The sequence below is a fragment of the Homo sapiens genome, chromosome 9 (genome assembly GCF_000001405.40).
Source record: "Homo sapiens chromosome 9, GRCh38.p14 Primary Assembly".
NCBI classification, from domain to species: domain Eukaryota; kingdom Metazoa; phylum Chordata; class Mammalia; order Primates; family Hominidae; genus Homo; species Homo sapiens.
The window spans coordinates 136,054,968-136,076,145 of record NC_000009.12 but is presented as its reverse complement, the minus strand read 5'-3'; the positions used below and the strand labels follow the sequence as shown (position 1 = coordinate 136,076,145).

At 51.7% G+C, this 21,178-nt stretch overlaps 1 protein-coding gene across 1 annotated transcript in view, besides 4 other annotated features; it reads left to right on the top strand.

Annotated features, from left to right (window-relative positions):
• Nucleotides 1-21,178, top strand: part of NACC2 (NACC family member 2) — an 88,753-nt gene that overhangs the window by 19,144 nt on the left and 48,431 nt on the right. The window lies entirely within an intron of this gene.
• Nucleotides 760-1,510: an enhancer, noted in NCBI's record as "H3K27ac-H3K4me1 hESC enhancer chr9:138966482-138967232 (GRCh37/hg19 assembly coordinates)". NCBI's record gives its function as "activates a minimal SCP1, AML or CMV promoter by ChIP-STARR-seq in naive H9 embryonic stem cells {active_cell/tissue: H9 hESC(naive)}" and the evidence as "EXISTENCE:reporter gene assay evidence [ECO:0000049][PMID:30033119]".
• Nucleotides 18,511-19,112: an enhancer, noted in NCBI's record as "H3K27ac-H3K4me1 hESC enhancer chr9:138948880-138949481 (GRCh37/hg19 assembly coordinates)". NCBI's record gives its function as "activates a minimal SCP1, AML or CMV promoter by ChIP-STARR-seq in naive and primed H9 embryonic stem cells {active_cell/tissue: H9 hESC(naive and primed)}" and the evidence as "EXISTENCE:reporter gene assay evidence [ECO:0000049][PMID:30033119]".
• Nucleotides 19,113-19,712: an enhancer, noted in NCBI's record as "H3K27ac-H3K4me1 hESC enhancer chr9:138948280-138948879 (GRCh37/hg19 assembly coordinates)". NCBI's record gives its function as "activates a minimal SCP1, AML or CMV promoter by ChIP-STARR-seq in naive and primed H9 embryonic stem cells {active_cell/tissue: H9 hESC(naive and primed)}" and the evidence as "EXISTENCE:reporter gene assay evidence [ECO:0000049][PMID:30033119]".
• Nucleotides 19,713-20,313: an enhancer, noted in NCBI's record as "H3K4me1 hESC enhancer chr9:138947679-138948279 (GRCh37/hg19 assembly coordinates)". NCBI's record gives its function as "activates a minimal SCP1, AML or CMV promoter by ChIP-STARR-seq in primed H9 embryonic stem cells {active_cell/tissue: H9 hESC(primed)}" and the evidence as "EXISTENCE:reporter gene assay evidence [ECO:0000049][PMID:30033119]".

Sequence of the window (21,178 nt, the reverse complement as noted above, 5' to 3'; positions counted from 1 at the left end):
GGGTATGGGGTGTCATCACTACTGAGTTGCAAATCAGGCAGAGGCCGCGAAGGGTGCCTGTTTACTTTATTTCCAAGTTTTCGATGACTGTTCTTTGCAGGATCTCTTCGTGACCACACGTAACCTTCATGCAGGGCTTTGAGAAGCGGGTGTCTCGGAGTTTTGTCACAGATGCAGCAGAGGAGTGGGCAGCAGCCCCAGGGCCACAGGCACTGAGCACATGGAGGGCTGCGGGGCTGCTCCTGGGCGCTTTGTAGGAAAGCCTGGGTTCCGTTTTCAGCAGCCTCTCACTCCAGAGGAGATGACTTTGCTCTTATTGAATCTTGTGTCCCGAGCCTCAGAGCCCAAACCCAAGACCCCTGTCTCTGAGGTTTCACCGACAGGGCCTGTGGGTGTTGGGTGGGTCTCCTCCCCTGGGCGCAGTCTGCACGGGGGTGTCCTCCCCGCGTGTGGAAGACCGGGCACAGGGAGCTCAGGACAGCATCAGCACAGGTTTCCTGAGGGGGCCCTGCAGGCTCTGCTCCCGCAGGACCTGCGACCCCGAACCCTGAATGTGGGCCTATGCCCGATAAAAGAAGATGCGTCCTCAGGCACGACAGCCTGGGCTTGGCCCCAGCTGCGCGATCTGTTTGAGAAACTGTACCGCGATGTAGGAGACGGCAGGTTCACACGGAGCCGCTGCCGACGTCTACGAAAGGGAAACAGGCTCGGGGAGACATTCGCCTCCGAGTTCCAAGCCCGGGGAGAGTGGACACCCTGTAATGAGCGCTTCAGTCAGTTCGCAGCAGCCAGCCTCGGGGGAGCTAGGGAGGGCTTTCCCCCCAAGTATCCCAGCCAGGCGGCCGCAGCCAGCTCTCCCTCATCCCGGTCAGTGCCGGACTGGACCAGAATGTGTCCTGGAGTCCTGGCCACCTCCCTGGTGCCATGTGACAGCTGTCTGAGGCCAAGTCTGTGTGTGGGGGGCGTTGCAGCCTGCTGCACCCACACCTGGGGCTCCCCACTTCCTGGCCTGCCGCTTTGAGGGAGCAGAAGCCGCCATTGAGGACAAGGTGGAATCGGCTCATTTCACGCAGAACCAAGAGCGTCGGCCTGGAGGAGGTCACGTCCTCTACTGGGCCTCACGTCACTGTTTCGTGAGGATCCGATTGCTGTTCCCCCAGCCCCATACGCGACAGTGAGTGGGGGACAGAGCTCCCGGGCTCCCAGAAGGAGGCCGTGCGAGAACCCATTCCCGCCAGCATCCCCCGGCCCTGCCGACTCCGCCTCGGCTGGGAAGGCCACGCTTCCTGCCGCTCTGTGTGAGGTGTAGACGCCGAGGCTGAGTGATACATCCCCGAGCCCCGCAGGTGAGCTGGGAACAGAATGTGACCACCGACATGGGCCCTCTGGGAGTCACAGGGGATGGTCGTTCGGAAGGTCCAGCTTCATCTGTCGGTGCAGTTTAGGGTGTGACTTGGTGGAGGCACGGTCAGTATTGAGTCAATGTTGAACCAGAGATAGGTTCCTTGAGGAAGGCAGGCAGCCTTGCTGTGACAGAACGAGGAATGGTTTTGACCTGTCCGTCTGTGTTAATTGAAGGGATGATACATAATTTTAAATAACCTCAGAAATTATTAACATCTTTATAAAGAACCTTAATGTTTCTGGAATGAAGAACTTTGTTTTCTTTTTCTTCTTTTTTCTTTTTTTTTTTGAGACGGAGTCTTGCTCTGTCGCCCGGGCTGGAGTGCAGTGGCACAACCTCGGCTCACTGCAAGCTCCGCCTCCCGGGTTCACTCCATTCTCCTGCCTCAGCCTCCCGAGTAGCTGGGACTACAGGCGCCCACCACCATGCCCGGCTAATTTTTTTGTATTTTATTAGTAGAGACGGGGTTTCACCGTGTTAGCCAGGATGGTCTGGATCTCCTGACCTCGTGATCTGCCCTCCTCGGCCTCCCAAAGTGCTGGGATTACAGGCATGAGCCACCGCGCCTGGCCATGCCTGGCTAATTTTTTAACAAATTATTTGTGGAGACTATAATCTTACCATCTCTCCTGGTCTCTCACTCCTGGACTCAAGTGATCCTTCTGCTTCAGCCTCCCAAAGTGCTGGGATTCCAGGCATGAGCCACTGTGCCCGGCCAAGATCTTAATTTTTTTAAAAAAATAGTCAAGGACATGACGGAGTCTGTGCAAATCCCTGTTGGTTACTTCGGTGAGAGCCAGGGTCTGCTTTCAGGGCAGAGGGAAGGATCACCGCTTACTGCTGACCCTGCTTCTGGGCAGACCAGATACTCCAAGACCAGGCAGCATTTTAGCAGACAGAACACCAAATCCTGCTTGGACGCAAATGCAGTACTTGGCAGTAGAGGATGCATAAGCACCTTTAAAACAATTAGGAATAGACCCATTGAAACTGAGCAAATTGTGCCAAAATTGTAGCACACACGCAGCTGCTTTTCATACTCCTTATTTCCAGGTATTATGAACCGAGGGAAATCAAGTCGACTTTCTGCAAACATTCTTGGGTTGTCCATACATCCACTGGAGTCTTTTGTCTTTTCCTGTTCTCTTTGGCATTCGAGACCAATTGTGCATTTCACTTTGAGACAAGCGCCTCTTCTCCCCTGATGGGCAGGACTATACTCTGATACAGCTGGATCCACGCTCACACCCCCTGTCCACTGCAGCTCCTACTGGGGTCCTCATTTTTTATTTTTTATTAAAAATTTTTTTTTTGAGACAGTCTTGCTCTGTCACCCAGGCTGGAGTGCAGCGGTAAGACCACAGCTCACTGCAGCCTTCACCTCCTAGGCTCAAGCGATCCTCCCACCTCAGTCTCCCAAGTAGCTGGGACCACAGGTGCGCTCCACCATGCCCAGCTAGTTTATTTTTATTTTTTGTACAGACAGAGTCTCCCTATGTTGCCTAGGCTGGTTTTGGACTCTTGGGCTCAAGTGATCCTCCCACCCCAGCCTCCCGTGTAGCTGAGACTACAAGCACGTGCCACCATACCCGGCCAATTAATTCTTTATGTAGCCTAGATATTAGTCCTTTGTTAAATGTGTTCCTGGCATGTTTTTTCTACCAGCCTGTGTCTTGTCTTTTCATCCCATTACCTGTGTCTTGTGCTGAGCAAAAGTTTTTAAATTTTGATAAAGTCCAGTTTATCAGTTTTTTTCTTTTATGGAAGAACTCTCTGCCTAGCCCCGGATTCTACAAATATTTTATTCTCTTGTGTGTTTTTTTCTTTCCCCTCTAGTTTTATGTTTAAGTCTCCAATTCATTTTGGGGTTATTTATTTATTTATTTATTTGAGACGGAGTTTCACTCTTGTTGCCCAGGCTGGAGTGCAATGGCATGATCTAGGCTCACCACAGCCTCCGCCTCCTGAGTTCAAGTGGTTCTCCTGCCTCAGCCTCCCAAGTAGCTGGGATTATAGGCATGTACCACATTCAGCTAATTTTTTGTATTTTTAGTAGAAACAGGGTTTCTCCATGTTGGTCAGGCTGGTCTTGAACTCCTGACCTCAGGTGATCCGCCCGCCTCGGCATCCCAAAGTGCTGGGATTACAGGCATAAGCCACCACACCCAGCCTTTTTTTTCTTTTCTTTTCTTTTTTGAGACAGAGTCTTGCCCTGTTGTGCAGGCTGGATTGCAGTGGTGTGATCTTGGCTCACTGCAATCTCTGCCTTCTGGGTTCAAGCAATTCTTGTGCCTCAGCCTCTCAAGTAGCTGGGATTATAGGTGTACACCAGCACGCCCGGCTAATTTTGTATTTTCATTAGCGACAGGATTTCACTGTGTTGGCCATTCTGATCTCAAACTCCTGGCCTCAAGTGATCTGCTCACCGTGGCCTCCCAATGTGCTGGGATTACAGACATGAGCCACCATGCCCTGCCTTTGGGTTTTTTTTTTTTTCTTTTTGAGACAGAGTTTCACTCTTGTTGCCCAGGCTAGAGTGCAATGGCACGATCTCGGCTAACTGCAACCTCCGCCTCCCGGTTTCAAGTAATTCTCCTGCCTCAGCCTCCCGAGTGGCTGGGATTATAGGCGCACATCACCATGCCCAGCTAATTTTTATATTTCTAGTACAGACGGGGTTTCACCATGTTGGCCAGGCTGGTCTCAAACTCCTGACCTCAGGTGATCCACCCACCTGGGCCTCCCGAAGTGCTGGGATTACGGACTCGAGCCACCGTGCCTGGCCTTTGGGTAATTTTGAATGGGGTGTGAGGCTTGGGTGGAGTTCAGCACATTTGCGTCTGGACGTTCAGTTGCCCCAGCTCCATTGGCTTCAAAGGCCGGCTCTTCTCCCCTGAATTGCTTTTGCCTCTTTTTTAAAAAAATCAGTTGGGCAAATTTTGTGTGGGTCTATTTTGGGTTTTTTAAATTCTGTTCCATTGATCCATATGTCTGTCCCTCTGTCCATACCACACAGTCTTGATCACTATAGTTTATAATAAGCCTTGAAATCAGGTAGCCTGATTTCTCCCACTTAATTCTCTCTCAAAATTGTCTTAGCTATTTTCATTCCTTTGCCTTTTCATATATATTTAAGAATGAGCTCATCTATATTTACAAAAGGTCTTGCTGGTATTTTTTTTTTTTTTTTTTTTTTTTGAGATGGAGTCTCACTCTATCATCCAGGCTGGAGTGCATTGGCATGGTTTCAGCTCAGTACAACCTCCACCTCCCAGGTTCAAGTGATTCTCCTGCTTCAGCCTCCTGAATAGCTGGGATTACAGGCACCTGCCTCCACGCTCAACTAATTTTCATATCTTTAGTAGAGACGGGGTTTCACCATGTTGGCCAGGCTGGTCTCAAACTCCTGACCTCGTGATCTGCCAGCCTTGACCTCCCAAAGTGCTGGGATTATAGGCGTGAGCCACCGCGCCCAGCCTTTTTAAATTTTACTTTATTTTTTTTGAGACGTAGTCTTGCTCTGTCTCCCAGGCTGGATGGAGTGTAGTGGCATGATCTTGGCTCACCGCAACGTCTGCCTCCCAGGTTCAAGCGATTCTCCTGCCTCAACCTCCCGAGTAGCTGGGATTACAGGCATGAGCCACCATGTCTGGCGAATTTTTAAAGTTTTTTTTAGTAGAGATGGGTTTCACTGTGTTGGCCAGACTGGTCTTGAACTCCTGACCTCAAGAGATCCGCCTACCTCAGCCTCCCAAAGTGCTGGGATTACAGGTGTGAGCCACTGCACCCAGCAGTCAAATTGTTCTTACTATTTCCACGTTATCCTTTTGCTATCTGCAGGGTCTGTAATTATGTCTCCTGTTTCATTTCTGATACTAAAATTAATTTGTATCTACTCTTGTCAGTCTTGCTAGATGTTTGTCAACTTTATTGATCTTTTCAAAAACCCAGCTGTTTCATTGATTTTTTTCCTCCTCTGTTCTTGTTTTCAATTTTATTGATTTATGTTCTTATTTTTATCATTTCTTTTCTTCTGCTTGCTTCAAGTTTTTGGTTTTTGTTTTTTTTTTTTCTGATTCCTTGAGATGAGAGCTTATATAATTGATTTGAGACTTTTCCTTTTTTCTAATACATCCATTAATGCTATAAATTTTCCTCTCAGCCCCACCTAAGTGGTGTCCCACAAACTTTGGTATGTTGTATTTTTCTTTTCATTGTATTTGATTTTCTTTTTTGAGACGAGTCTCGCTCTGTCGCCCAGGCTGGAGTGCAGTGGCGCGATCTCGGCTCACTGCAACCTCCGCTTCCCGGGTTCAAGTAGTTCTCTGCCTCAGCCTCCCCAGTGGCTGGGATTATAGGCGCCCACCACCACGCCCGGCTAATTTTTTTGCATTTTTAGTAGAGACGGGGTTTCACCATCTTGGCCAGGCTGGTCTTGAACTCCTGACCTTGTGATCCACCCGCCCCGGCCTCCCAAAATGCTAGGATTACAGGCGTGAGCCACCACGCCCGGCCCGTATTTGATTTTCTTGAGACTTCTTCTTTGACATATGGATTACTTAGATGTATGTTATTTCCATTTCTAGATTTCCCTGTTACCTTTGTTACGATTTCTAGTTTGATTCCACTGTGGTTAGAGAACACACTGTGTAATTTTAAGTCTTGTAAAGTTCTTGAAGTTTTCTTTCTGGCCCAGAATATTGTCTGTCTTGGCATATGTTCCACAGGCACGTGAAAAGAACATATGTTCTGCTGTTGTTGAGTGGAGAGTTCTGTAATGTCAGTTAGATCCTGCTGATGTTATTTAACTCACTCTATCTCTGCTGATTTTCTATCTAGTTCTATCCTTGTTTAGAGAAGGCTGTTGAAGTCTCTACTAGAATTGTGGGTTTGTCTTTAGTTCTATTGGTTTGTGCTTCATGTATTTTGTAGTTCCGTTGTCTGGTACATGGACATTTAGGATTGCTGTGTCTTAGTGGATTGATGCTTTAATTATTATGTCACGTCCTACTCTATCTCTGATAATTTTATTTGCTCTGAAATATGCTTTATTTGAAGTAAAACAACCCTTGCTTTCTTTTATGTTTGCATAATTTATCTTTTTCTATTCTTTTTATTTTAACCTACCTATATCATTATATTTGAAGTGAGGTGTTTTTTTTGTTTTGTTTTGTTTTGTTTTGTTTTGTTTTTTGACAGAGTTTCACTCTTTCACCCAGGCTGGAATGCAGTGGCATAGTCTTGGCTCACTGCAACCTCCGCCTTCTGGTTTCAAGCAATTCTCCTGCCTCAGCCTCCCGAGTAGCTGAGATTACAGGTGCCTGCCACCACGCCCGGCTAATTTTTGTATTTTTAGTAGAGAAGGGGTTTCACCATGTTGGCCAGGCTGGTCTCGACCTCCTGACCTCAGGTGAGATCCACCTGGCTCAGCCTCCCACAGTGCTGGGATTACAGGTGTGAGCCACCGCGCCCAGTCAATAGAATACATTTTAAAATATGACTCAGCTATATGCTATCTAAAAGAAACTCACCTCAGGCTGGGCACGGCAGTTCACGCCTATGATCCCAGCACTTTGGGAGGCCGAGGCGGGCAGATCACAAGGTCAGGAGTTTGAGACCAGCCTGGCCAACTTGGTGAAACCCCGTCTCTACTAAAAATACAAAAAATTAGTTGGGTGTGGTGGCACATGCCTTTAATCCTGGCTACTTGGGAGGCTAAGGCAGGAGAATTGCTTGAACCTGGGAGACAGAGCCGAGATTGTGCCATTAAACTCCAGCCTGGGCAACAAGAGTAAAACTCCATCTTTAAAAAAAAAAAAAAGTATTCTTTCAATCTCTGTCTTTTAATGGGTGTATTTAGATCATTTACATTTAATGGAATTATTGATGTACTGAGGCCTTGTCTCCTATTTTAGTTTTTGATTCTGTTCTATCTTTTGTTTCTTTTTCCTGCCTTCCTGTGAGCCACTCGATTTTTAAAATTTCCTTTTGGTTTATCTGTGTTTTTATTTTTGAAATGACATCTTTATTGAGACAGTTTACATGCCATACAATTCACTCATACACTGTATAATTTAGTGGTTTTTAGTATATAGTCACATGCTGCATAACAGCAGTTCAGGGGACAGCGTATACAGTGTTGCTCTCATGAGATTATCATAGAGCTGAAAAATTCTATTGCCTAGTGACGATGTAGCCATCATAATGTCATTGCACAATTACTTTTTTTTTTTTTTTTTTTGAGACGGAGTTTCACTCTTGTTGCCCAGGCCGGAGTGCAATGGTGTGATCTCGGCTCACTGCAACCTCTGCCTCCTGGGTTCAAGCGATCCTCCTGCCTCAGCCTCTTGTGTAGCTGGGATTACAGGCACACACCACTATGCCCAACTAATTTTTGTATTTTTTGGTAGAGACAGGGTTTTGCCATGTTGACCAGGCTGGTCTTGAACTCCTGACCTCAGGTCATCTGCCCTCCTTGGCCTCCCAAAGTGCTGGGGTTACAGGCATGAGCTACTGCGCCCAGCCACACAATTACTTTTTTAAAAAAGATAAATGTAGTGTAGCCTAAATGTTCGGTGTTTATACAGTCTTTAGTAGCATATAGTAATATCCCAGTCCTTCACATTCTCTCACTACTCACTCACCCAGAGCAATGCCCAGTCCCGCAAGTTCCATTCATGATAAGTGTCCTATAGAGTTGTACCATTTTTAATCTTTTATCCTATATTTTTACTGAACCTTTACTATGTTTCGATACACAAATGCTTCCCATTGTGTTACAGTTGCCTATGCTATTCAGTACAGTAACATGCTCTATAGGTTTATAGCCCAGGAGCACTAGGCTATGCCATATAGCCTAACCACAGTTAGGCTGTACCACCTGGCTTTGGTTTTGTTTCTGTGTTTTTGAGATGGCGTCTCGCCCTGTTGCCAGACTGGAGGCAGTGCCGCGATCTCGGCTCACCGCAACCTCCGCCTCCCGGGTTCAAGTGATTCTCCTGCCTCAGCCTTCCACGTAGCTGGGACTACAGGTGCCCGCCACCACGCTCGGCTAATTTTTGTATTTTCAGTAGAGACAGGGTTTCACCATGTTGGCCAGATGGTCTCGATCTCTTGACCTCGTGATCTGCCCGCCTTGGCTTCCCAAATTGCTGGGATTACAGGCGTGAGCCACCGCGCCCGGCCCATCGAGCATCGTTTAAGTGCATTCTGTGGTGTTCACAGAACGACAAAATCACCTGCGGTGTTCAGAGAACAACAAAATCACCTAATGATGCATTTCTCAGGATATATCCCCGTCGTTAATCAACACGTCTGTATTCAGAGTTATGCAACCATTACCATCGTGAATTTTAGAACATCTTCATCACTCCAAAAACCACACCCTTTAGTAGTCATTCTCATTTCCCCATCCCTCCCCCACCCCCACTGCTCCCGGCTCTAGGCAACAACAATTTTTTTTTTTTTTTTTTTGAGACAGAGTTTCCCTCTTGTTGCTTAGGCTAGCTCTTGGCTGTGTGCGATCTTGGTGCGATCTTGGCTCACCGCAACGTCCGCCTCCCGGGTTCAAGCGATTCTCCTGCCTCAGCCTCCCGAGTAGCCGGGATTACAGGCATGAACCACCACGCCTGGCTAATTTTGTATTTTTAGTAGAGACGGGGTTTCGACATGTTGCTTGCCGAGGCTGGTCTCGAACTCCCGACCTCAGGTGATCCGCCTGCCTTGACCTCCCAAAGTGCTGGGATTCCAGGCTTGAGCCACTGCGTCCAGCTAAATCTTTTTTTTTTTTTTTTAATCTTTTTAAATGATCTGTTCTGGACATTTTATATAAATGGAATCTCATAATATGTGCCCTCTTGTGACCAGCATTTTTTTTCACACTTAGCGTAATGTTTCGCTTAGCGTAGCGCTCATCCGTGCTCTCCCAGTACTTCATTCCTATCATTGCTGAATGACATTGTATGGATATTCCACATTTTACTTACCCATTCAGCCCGTGATAGACATTTGTGTATTTCCACTTCTTGGCTATTGCAAATGATACTGCTAGGACACTCCAAACAAGTTTGCGTGTGGATGCATGCTTTCCTTTCTCTTGGCTGCATACCTAGGGTTGGAATTGCTGGGTCATGTAGGAATTCTATTTGACCTTTTGAGGAAATTCCAGACTGTTTTCCATAAGTGGCCCTAACATTTTGCATTCCCGATCGCTACATCTCTTTACATTTCCACCAACCTTTGTTTTCTGTCTTTTTGATTATAGCCATCCTAGTGGGTATGAAGTGGTATCTCTTTGTGGTTTTGATTTGGATTTCCCTGACGGCTAATGATGCTGAGTATTTTTGCGTGTGTATATTGGACATTTGTGTATAGTATTTGGAGAAATACCTTTTCAGATGCCTTGCCTATTTTTAAATTGAGTTATTTGTCTTTTTATTGTTGAGTTGTCAGAATTATTTATACATTCTAGATATAAGTCTCTTGTATGGTTGGCAGATATTCCCTTCTATTCTTTGGTTTCTTTTTCTTTCTTTCTTTTTTTTTTTTTGAGATGGGGTTTCACTCTATTGCCCAGGCTAGAGTGCAGTGGCACGTTTGTGGCTCATTGCAACCTCTGCCTCCCGGGCTCAGGTGATTCTCCTGTTTCAGCCTCCCGAGTAGCTGGGGTTACAGGCACCCACCACCACACCCGGCTAGTTTTGTATTTTTAGTAGAGATGGGTTTTCACCATGTTGGCCAGGCTGGTCTCAAACTCCTGACCTCAGGTTATCCACCTGCCTTGGCCTCCCAAAGTGTTAGGATTACAAGCGTGAGCCACCATGCCCGGCCTCTTTTTACTTTCTTTATGGTATTCTTTGAAGCACAAGATTTTTAAATTTTGAGGAAGTCTAATGTATCTGGGTTTTCTTTCCTTTTCTTTTTTTTTTTTGGAGACAGGGTCTCTGTCACCCAGGCTGGAGGACAGTGGCGTGATCACGGCTCCAGCCCCTTCCTGCAGCCTCAACCTCCTAGGTTAAAGTGATTCTCACACCTCAGCATCCTGAGTAGCTGGGACTACAGGCATGTGCCACCACTCCTGGCTAATTTTTTATTATTTGTTTATTTACTTATTTATGTATCTGAAACCGCGTCTCGCTTTGTCACCCAGGCTGGAGTGCAGTGGCGCAATCTTGGCTCACCACAACCTCTGCCTCTCAGGTTCAAGCAATTATCCTGCCTCAACCACCTGAGTAGCTGGGACTACTGGCGTGCGCCACCACATCTGGCTGACTTTTGTATTTTTAGTAGAGACGGGATCTTACCATGTTGGCCAGGCTGGTCTTGAACTTCTGACCTCAAGTGATCTGCCCGCCTCGGCCTCCCAAAGTGCTGGGATTATAGGTGTGAGCCACCACGCCCAGCCTAATTATTTATTTTTTGTAGATACGAGGTCCCACTATGTTGCCGAGGCTGGTCTTGAACTCCTGGGCTCAAGCGATACTCCTGCCTCAGCCTCCCAAAGTGTTGGATTACAGGTGTGAGCCACCTCACCTGGTCTGGTTTGTTCTTTCCTTTTGTTGCTTTGCTCTTTGGTGTCATATCTAAGAATCCATTGTTTAACCCAAGACCACAAAGATTTATCCTGTCTTTTCTTGTAAGAGTTTTATAGTTTTAGCTCTTACATTTAGGTCTTTGAAATATTTTAAGTTAATTTTTGTATATGGTGTGAGGGAAGGGTCCTGCTTCATTCTTTTGCATGTGGCTATCCAGTCGTCCCAGCACCACATTTTGAAAAGACTGTTCTTTCCCCATTGAATGGTCTTGGCACCCTTGTTAAATTAATTGGCTGCAGACACATGAATACATTTGTAGACTCATCTGTTCCATTGATCTAAGTCTGTCCTTAGATCAGCACCATACTATATTGATTACAGTAGCTTTATAGCAGAAATTGGGAAGTATGACTGCTCTAACTTCGCTCCTCTTTTTTAATATTGTTTTGGCTCTCCTGGGTCCCTTGCGTTTCCATATGAATTTTTAGCATCAGCTCGACAATGTTGGCAAAGAAATTAACCGGAATTTTGATAGAGATTGCATTGAGTCTGTAGATAAATTCGGGACATATTCCTTAATTAACATTATTAAGGAAGACTTTAATAATGTTAGGTCTTCCCATCCCATGAATATGGATGTTTTACTTCTTTAGATCTTTCATTTCTTTCAACAAAATTTTGAAGCTTTCAAAGTATGAGTTTTACACTACTTTTGTTAAATGTATTCCTATGTATTTTATGCTTTTTGATGCCGTTGTAAATGGAATTGTTTACTTGATTTTATTTTTAGGTTGTTCATTGCAAGTGTAGAGAAATACTTGTGATTTTTGTATACTGAGTTTATATTTTGCAATCTTGCTGTGCTTGTTCATTCTTCCAGTAGTTTTTAAGGATTAGGATTTACTTTTGTCTTTTTTTTGAGGCAGGGCCTCACTCTGTCACCCAGGCTGGAGTGCAGTAGTGCAGTCATAGTTCACTGCAGCCTCGATCGCCTGGGCTCAAGTGATTCTCCCCCCTCAGCCTCCTGAGTAGCTGGGACCACAGGTACACAACACAACGCCCAGCTCATGTTTGAATTTTTTGTAGAGATGAGGTCTTGCCGTGCTGTCCAGGCTTGTCTCAAACTCCTGGACTCAAGTGATCTTCCAGCCTTGACCTCCCAAAGTGCTGGGATTATAGGCCTGAGTTACCACGCCTGGCCTACAGTTTCATTATATTCTGGGGGCTCTAACAGTGTTAGATTTGTAAAGTTGCACAGTATCTTCTAGCCGATGAGGGCACAGCTGTTTAAGTGATTTTTGTTTTTTTTGTTTTTTTTTTTTTTGAGATGGAGTCTCGCTCTGTTTCCCAGGCTGGGGTGCAGGTGGTATGATCTCGGCTCACTGCAACCTCCACCTCTCGGGTTCAAGTGATTCTCCTACCTCAGCCTCCTGAGTAGCTGGGATAATAGGCGCCCACCACCACACCTGGCTAATTTTTCTATTTTTAGTAGAGATGGGATTTCACTTTGTTGGCCAGGCTGGTCTAGAACTCCTGGCCTCAGGTGATCCACCCGCCTTGGCCTCCCAAGTGCTGGGATTACAGGCGTGAGCCACCGTGCTCGGCCTTTTTAAGAGATTTCCTAATCTTGTTTGTGCATACCCTTCCCAGGTAGGAAAAACTCTATACTTTATGGGAGGGAAAGGCTCGTCCTGGTCCTGGTGATGGACATGCAGAGAACTTGCAGGCTCGGCCACAGGTCAAACGTAAATCTGGAAAATGGCCCCTCTTCTTATCTCAGAGGGAGGTGTTTGCTTCTGCAATGTACGTGACCTCTTTCCTGGATTGAAGAACAAAGATGACCAATAGGCACAGGACTCGAGCCCCTCATTGGCCCTGCAGGCATCTCCACAGGATCAGCCCACAGAGTCAGACCCCAGCCTCCAGGGCCCCCTCGCTGGTGCGTTGCTCCCAGGTGCTCTGCACAGCATGGCCGAGACCAGCCCAGGGGTCCCGGGAGCTGCTCATCCCTGGTCCCCGCCACGTAATGGGAATGCGGCTCAAACCACACGTTTGACAGGAGAGAGACAGATCGACAGACCTGGCCCACAACCAGACACAGAAACAGTCCCGGGGTGAAAGGGCTCAACAACAACAACGAGAACAAAAATTAGAAGAAAACAGTGACGGCAAAGTCGGGCTTCTTCTCTTGGGGAGACACAAGAAGACAGGCATGGGGTTGAGCACAGGCCATGTACCTCATGTTTCTGGGATGTCCTGTGAACGTATAATTTTATTTATTTACTTATTTAGAGACAGGGTCTTGCCCTGTTGCCCAGACTGGAGTACAGTGGCACGATCACGGCACACTGCGGCCTCGGCCTCCCAGGCTTAGGTGATCCTCCCACCTCAGGCTCCCAAGCAGCTGGGACTACAGTCACACACCACCACACTTGGCTAAGTCTTTGTATTTTTTTGTAGAGATGGGGTTTCGCCATGTTGCCCAGGCTAGTCTTGAACTGCTGGGCTCAAGCAGTCCACCCCCGCTGACCTCCCAAAATGTTGGGATTACAGGCATGAGCCACTGTGCCCAGCCTGTATAATTTTTAGAGTGATAAATGAGGCTGGTGTGAACGTACAGAGAACAGGTATTATGTATTTAACTCATCGATGAAGGAGCAGGTAGGATGGTCACTGGCTGGGAGAGGGCCAGAGGAGCCTCTGGGCCTAGGCACTGAAGACGAAGTGCTACCAGATCTTGCTAGACAAGGTCTAAAACTGGTTAATGCCCCACGGGCCAAAACCTCACTGTCTTTGGGACTGTCTTTTCTATAGAGAGAAATCTTTGCATGTTTCCTGGACAAAAGCTGACATGTATACCTGTAACTTTCCAGGGTCCGGGTAGATGGCAGGTCAAAGGTGCATCCTCCTAGGTAAGCGAGTGACTGCTGGGTGGTCCCTTGGCGTTGGGGGGAAGTATTTGCAGTCATCATGTTGCTTAGTTGCTAATTTCTTGCTAACTTTTCTTTCTTTCTTTTCTCTCTCTTTCCTTTCCTGTCCTGTCCTGTCCTGTCCTGTCCTGTCCTGTCCTGTCCTGTCCTGTCCTGTCCTGTCTCGCTCTGTTGCCCAGGCTGGAGTACAGGTACAGTGGTGCAATCTCGGCTCATTGCAACCTCCACCTCCCCAGTTCAAGCGATTCTCCTGCCTCAGCCTCCTGAGTAGCTGGGATTACAGGTGCACACCACCACGCTCAGTTAATTTTTGTATTTTTAGTAGGGATGGGATTTCGCCATGGTGGCCAGGCTAGTCTCGAACTCCTGACCTCAGGTGATCCGCCCGCCTTGGCCTCCCAAAGTGCTGGGATTACAGTTGTGAGCCACCGCGCCCGGCCACCAACTTTTCGTAATGGCCTGCTCTGTACCTGGGCCATTGTACCTGGGCCTCTGTACTCTGTATCTGTATCTGCTTCATGTGCTTGTCCCCGCCCACCCACCTGGCTTCTCGCTGGTTCCTGAGCCTGCTAGACCTCCGATCTGCCTCTTTCTGACCAGGAGGATGTTGCCACCTGGCCGTGTGAGGGCTGAGGCTGGGGGCTGGGGTAGACCTGCTGGGTCCAGGTGTGAGCCGCACAGGGTCTCAACCCCCGAACGTGTACACGCATCCTCTTGGGTACAATCAGCACGGCCCATCCATCCGCCTTCCCCTACCCCAGCTGCCTTCTCTCTGCCTCCAGCCCCTTCCTGCGGCCAAATGCCATGGGCCCCTCAATGGTCAGGGTTCCTGGGTGAGGGGGCAGCCTGGGAGCTGGGCCTGGTGACCTCCAGCATCTGGGCCTGGAGGGAGGGGACCCCTCTATCTGAGGGCTGTGCCTCTGTGTGGTGAGTGCCCGGGAAACGGAGCTGCCGCCATGGGCAGAGCCTGCTGTGGGTCCCAGTGGCTGGAGGCTGGGGCAGCCTGGGTTTGGTGACCACTCCAGCTGGGGTGTCAGGAGTCCTGGCCTGTCCCTCCCGACCAGGCAGTGGGAGACCCCGGTAGCCGGCACAGTCTGAGCTCACGGTGGGGGCTGTGCAGACCCGGATGGGGTTTAGGGGCATTCAAGGGGAGGAGGCAGAAGAGGAACCCCTTACCTGGCATTGTTCCTCCTCCCCTAGCCACTGAGGGGGCGTCCGTCCGTTCCAGTATGTGACAGAACCAGGGGGCCCTTGTCCCCACCCTGTGATGGTGCAGAACAAACCATGGCCTCAGGCCAGGGCATCCTGGGGTGACACCCTCCCCTCCCCCTTTCACCTTCCCCCGGACCCCTGTACCCAGTCTCTCAGGGACTGGCTGTGTTGGGGGGCTTCCTGGATGCAGAGGAGAAGGCTCTAGTCGGCTGGCAGATCCCTGGATAGCCATGTCTGGTGGGAGGGATGAGCAGGGGAGGGCTGAAGCCTGGAGACCGGCAGGCTGGTGGGGACGTGCCCAGGGCTCTGAGGGTCCCCCTGATGGCTCCGTGCTCACCGGCTATGTTTCTCACGCTCTTCACCTGGGAGCGTCCTGCAGCCCCCACTGGCACCTTTGAGACCCGACGGGGCTAAGCATGTGGTGCTGGGGTGCGGCCTTGGCCAGGGAGGATCAAGCAGGGCTTGGCCTTCTCGGGCCAGGGACTGAACCAGATGAGTCAAGGCAGAGTGGCACCCCCCACCCGGCCCCAGTGTGGAGCTGACCCTCAGGGAGGGGAGAGGGATGGGGCCTGGGCCTGGCCCTGTCTTCTGGAAAGAAGCGCCTGCTGCCACAGTTTCACAGTTGCCATTCCCGAGCTGTAGAAGTTGGGTGTTTGTATTTATGGTCTTTATTTTTCATATCGGTAATTACCTTTTATGGCCCCGGCTTAAAGGCAGCCCAGCCGGCTCCAGGGCCTCCCCGTGATCCCAAAGCCAAGTGCAGGCCTCCCCACCTTCCGCCGTTTTTCCCTCTTTTACACAAGATTCTTCGGTGTTGCAAAAGAGCTTTGGGAGATTTGGGTTTTGTGGTTAAGATTCTCACACTGGCGCACGAGGACAATTATGTGGCAGCTTTCATTTGGCCCCTAGGATTCTTACTACATTATCCGTACTTCCTTTAATTTGTGGGATTTCTAGTAAATGGGCTTAAAAATAGGTCTGGGCATGCCGCCAGGGCAGATGCGGGCAGCCGGCATCTCTGCATCCCTGTCTCATGGCAGAGTGGGGTCACCCTGTGTCCCTCGGCCCTGTGCCTCCTGCAGGTCCCCCGAGGCGGCTCCCCGTGCGCCCTGAGGAGGGGACAGGGTGCGGCCCCTCTCTGCTGGTCAGGACATCGGGGTGGGTCTTGGCTGCAATTGAGTTAGGGTGGAGGGGTTGGGGTCCTTTTGACGGCGAGGTAGGGACTCTGACGGAGGCCAGGCCGACTAGAGGGCTGGGGAAGCCGGGTGACATGCTCATGGGCCACACGGATACACACACAGGCCCAACAGTCCCCATGTAGCCAGCAGCCCTGCCCAAGGCAGGCTGTCCCGTCCTTGTCATGGTGGAGAGGACCAAGGCCAGCCGTATGCAGGGTGTCCCCGTGGCCGGCTGGAAGTCCCGGCCCTGCGGCCTGCTCAGGTTCCTTGCTGGGCCTGCTGACCTGGACGCGTTGCTGGAGGAGGGACTTGCCTTTTGTTTAACGTCTAGCCGACTTCGGCAACCCCCCAGCTCCCTGAGTGGACCACACACCCAAGGAGGCGGCCCGGGTGGGGTTTCCCAGCCAGAGTTCAGGTCACTCCCCTTGGGCTGCCGCTGTCCACTTTCTCAGGAGCGCCAGGTCTGGGCTCTGGGGCCTCTCGCGCAGCCCCCGTGCTGGCTTCTCTCTGGAGGTGCTGAGCTGGCATGTCATAGGGCCCTGCTCCGGATGGGCTGGTGCATGCATCTGGACACCAAGCATGGCTGTGCCCCTTGCTTAGCTCTGCGGGCCCCTGTGCGTGTGGCTCTGGCCTGGGCACCTTTGGCCTTAGCCCTGAGGGTGTCCCTAGTCCCGGGGAATGGCCCTGCTCCTGGGCTCACTGGGTGGCAGTTTTGCCCCCAGATGTCCCAGCTAAAGCTTCATCTCCAGGGACCCTGTGATTGTTTCTGTGCTGCTTGCAGGGGTTGGGGCTGTCTCAGGCTCTGATGTGGGTTCCAGATCACGCTTCTCCCCTGCCCCTGACCCAGCACCTTCCCTCTACAGCCCCCACACTGCCTCTCCCTGCAGACAGGAGGGCGGGGCCCAGGGGCCAGAGTCACGCCTCCCACACCTGGGCCTCTGCTACCCATCCAGGGGCAGCGCTATCCACTGGGGTGGGGTGGCGGTCAGGAGACCATCCTGCCCCGGCCCCTGCGTCCCCTCCATGGCTTGAGCTCTGCCAAGGACTTTTGTCCAATCCCATGCCCCAGCGTGAGGCATTGCCCGAAGTGTGCAGGTGGGGGCTATTCCGAATCTCTGGTGCTGTGTGAGTTGAATCTTTTCCTTTTTTCAACTTTTATTTTCGATTCAGAGATACGTGTACAGGTTTGTCACCTGGGTGCATGGTGCGATGCTGAGGTGGGTTGCGATCGAGCTCGTCACTCAGGTGGTGAGCATGGTACCCGGTGGGTTAGTTTTCAGCCTTTGCCCTCTTCCCTCCCTCATCCTGTTGTTCCTAGAGTCTGTCATTCCCATGTTTATGTCCGTGTGTATCCAACATCCCATCTTTCTGAAGAGCTGAGAAAGCCCAGGTCCCAGACAGGAATGTCCAGAGGGTAAAATATGGATGGCCAGGGCCCTGGGGAGCCTCCGGAGCCCCCTCCTGAGCAGGTGCCTGCTGCTTCCGCCGGACACCCCTGAGGATGGGAATCCCGGGTCCCTGGCTGGGAAGGGCCTGGGCCAGGCACTGGGAGCCGTGGGGACCGGGCAGGATGGGGTGGGGCAGGGATGGAGGTGGCCATGAGGTGCTGCGGGTGTCTGCCCTGTAGTTCGCCCTTTGGGGCAAAGGCAGGGCGAGGTTGGTGACCCCAAGGACATAGCCTGGGTTCCCTGCTGCCCAACTCCAGGCGGAGGTGGTGCCAGCAGCCCCCTTGCCAGCCAGGGCCTAGAGGCGTGTGGCTCCAGGCGTCATTGGGCCCCCCCCGCCCCCAGTGGCTGATGTAGTGTTTCTGTGTCGCTCTGATTTACATGAGAGTTTTAAGCATAATTAGAAATGCAGGGGAGCTTTGTGTCTTACCTCGCCTCACTATTTATGGCATGATATGCAGATGAGGAGAGCTATGAATATTAACCATGAGAGTGTGCCGCGAAGTCGCCGTCTCTAATGGGCTGGGTGACCAGCAGCGGGGCCCAGCACGCTCCAGACCGCCTCCCATTGCCCACCTCTGACTGTCGGTGCCTGGGATCCGACCGCTTCCACAACCCCCGGCCCCAGTGGTGATGATCAGGCCACAGCTGCTCCAGGCCATCAAGAGAGGGGGTGAGCGAGTGAGGAGGGTGCTTCCCCTCCCGGCCGCTCCGCCTGGGCAGCCCCAATCTCAGCTTCCACCCGGCCGAGCCGGTGCAGGGGAGACCCTACTGCAGCCCTGGGGGAGGAGGGGGCCCTGCGCTGGAGCTGGCGCTGGCTTTTTAAGTTATTAAACTATGCCCGAGGGAGACGCTCTTCAAGCTTACGTTATTTAAATTACAAATATGGGTGAGGGAGATTGTCGGCTCTTTTCGAAACACAGCTTAATTCTTTGGAAACCTTCTAGAATGTTTTGTGGTGTGAGGGAGCATCCCACAGTGTGTGGACCCAGTGGGTCTGCTGGCTGGGGTGGGGCCATAGGGCGGATCTGGGGCTCAACAGGAGCCACCCCAGCCCCAGCTGTCCCTCCCCACCCTTCGAGTCATTCTCTTCCTCTGAGCCATCCCTGTTGACAGTCTGTGCTGTGTTTGTCCCCCAAGTCCTTACCCATAAGAAAGAATATTCTGCAAGTGAAGGTTAGAGATGAGCGTGTTGGTGGCCAGGGGCCATGCCTCAGGTGAGCCGTGGCTGCTTGGGTCATTCCCCATAAGCGCAGGGCTCGGCTCAGTCACACAGGCCCCTGGACCAGACCCCCGGCAGAGCCAACGCCACGGGCACCCCACAAGGCCCTATCGGACGCAGAGCCTGCTGCTGCCGAGGATGGAGCGTCCTCCCAGCCCTCCCTCGAGGTACTGGCTGCTGGAGGCCCACCCTGGGGGTGGGGGCTGGGGGCTGTGCTGTCCAGAGACCCCCTGCTGTGTCCCTGGCTTCATCCCCTCTATCTGTGGGCCTGCCCACGGGTGGCCGAGAGGAAGGGCTGATACACGGAATTGTGGATTTGCAGGTCCTGGAGTACTGCCCTTCTCCATCTGGGAAGAAAGCTTCCAGGCAGATGTTCCTTAGTGCAGTTACCGCCGGCTCTGATGGCTGATGCTGGCCCTGGCTTGTGGTCTGGGGTAGAAGCCGCCTAGGGACCTGGCTGAACGGAGAGAGCCCGGCCTGGGCCCAGCCCTGCATGGCTCTCCTCCACCTCCCAGGCTGGGGCGACAGTGATAGTCCGAGGGGGCCCGTCATCCCAGAGACCCCCCGTACCTCTGTGACCCTGAAGCTGGGGGCCTTTGCGCCCCTTTCCTGGGTGGAACTCTCCTCTCTGCCACAGAGTCCTTAGGGCCCTGGCAGGTCAGGGTCGTAGCTACCCGGGGTCTGTTGGGCGGGGCCAGGCATCCTCTCTGGCTCTTGTGACTTGATGACCAGAGACCACCCAGGAAGGATGATGGCTAGGGGCCTGGCCCCGCTGCCTCCCGACTGTGAGGTCTCAGTTTCCTCATCTGTATGTCCAGTAGCGGGGAGGTGAGCACACGGCACACGCCATCCTGGCTTTTGTGGGGGCCTCGGGGTTGGGGGGAGTTCCTGGCCGCCGAGGGCCCTGGCCCAGAGCTGCTGCATCTCATCTGCATGGAGCTGGTGGTTCCATTAGCAGCCAGGCCTCCGGGCAGCCCAGCTCTGCTTTCTGGCATTTTAAAAGTTTAATGCAAACCTGAGGGCTAAGCTGGTGCCACACCCAGCTCCCTGAGGCCCTGGCACATCCGGAGCTGGGCAGCCTCTACCCCCCAGGGTTAACCTCCGGGCCCCCTGCCGCCCCCTTGTCCTCCCTAGGGCCTCTTTTCTGAAGGTATAGGGTCAAAGCAAATCCTCCTGGAGCCTGCACCGTATGGGAAAGGGAAGGCGTTGCGCGGAGGTGGGCAAGGTCCACGGGGTAGCAGCCCCCAGACTGTATTCCTAACACCCCCTGTGCTCCTGCTGACTCCAGAGCACCTGGCACAGCAGGCCCGCCCCATCCCCACACCTTCTCACGCTCCAGGAGCGCCTTCGATTGACCTTTTAGGAGATGTCCTCACTTAACTAACTGCCAGGCAGTCTCCACCAGGGGCCGGGGCTCGGGGTAGAGGGACTCTCCCCTCCGCAGAACGTTTCCCGTGCCCCGCCTCTCTCCTTCCTCTACCACGTGTTTAATGGCTGTGCATTTGCTGAGGTCCAGAACCTCTTATTAGATTGGTGAAATTAAATCCTGCAAGATAATTTAATTTAATTTAATTTTTCTCGCCTCCCTTCCCCTTGCTGGTGGTGATCCTGCAGAAATTCAGTGCCGCATTCCTCTGGTTTGCTGTGCTGGGCTTAGAAAGTGCTTTACAATCTAGGGGTGGAGGGGGCAGGGTTTCTGGGGACTCTGGGCGAGGCCCTCAGACCATGGAGCTGCCTGGCTGGGCCCCAGGAAAAGGGCTCCTCCTGTTGGGCTGCCTGACTGGTCCCTGTCCCAGTCCTCTGGCCTGGGGGATGCTTTCAGGGGTCTTGTACCTGCCAGAGCCTCTGCTCCTGGGTACTTGATGCCAGGACCCAGGTGCCCTGGCCTGGCACCAACCTTGTAACCTGTGTCCTTGTGTGAATCCTGCCGGGACGACACTCAGGCAGGGGGGTCGTTCTGGAGACGCTGCCCCAACCCCTGTGTGCGCGTCTGGCTGCAGTTCCAGTGAGCCCCTGTCCTCCCCGCGGGCTCCTCTCACCCATCGGCAGGTTGCTGGGTATGGGGCTCATCATGGTGGGCAACCCCTAACCCCAGGGCAGGGCAGGCCTGGATCTCAGCCTTCCTCAAGTGAGGCTCTGCAGAGGAGAGACCCCCCACTCCGACACCACAGCCACCTGTATTTTCTTATTCCTGAGGGTGGCTTGTGGGCTCAGAGGAACCCAGCCTCCTCTGTGTGTCTGTGTGGGGTGGGG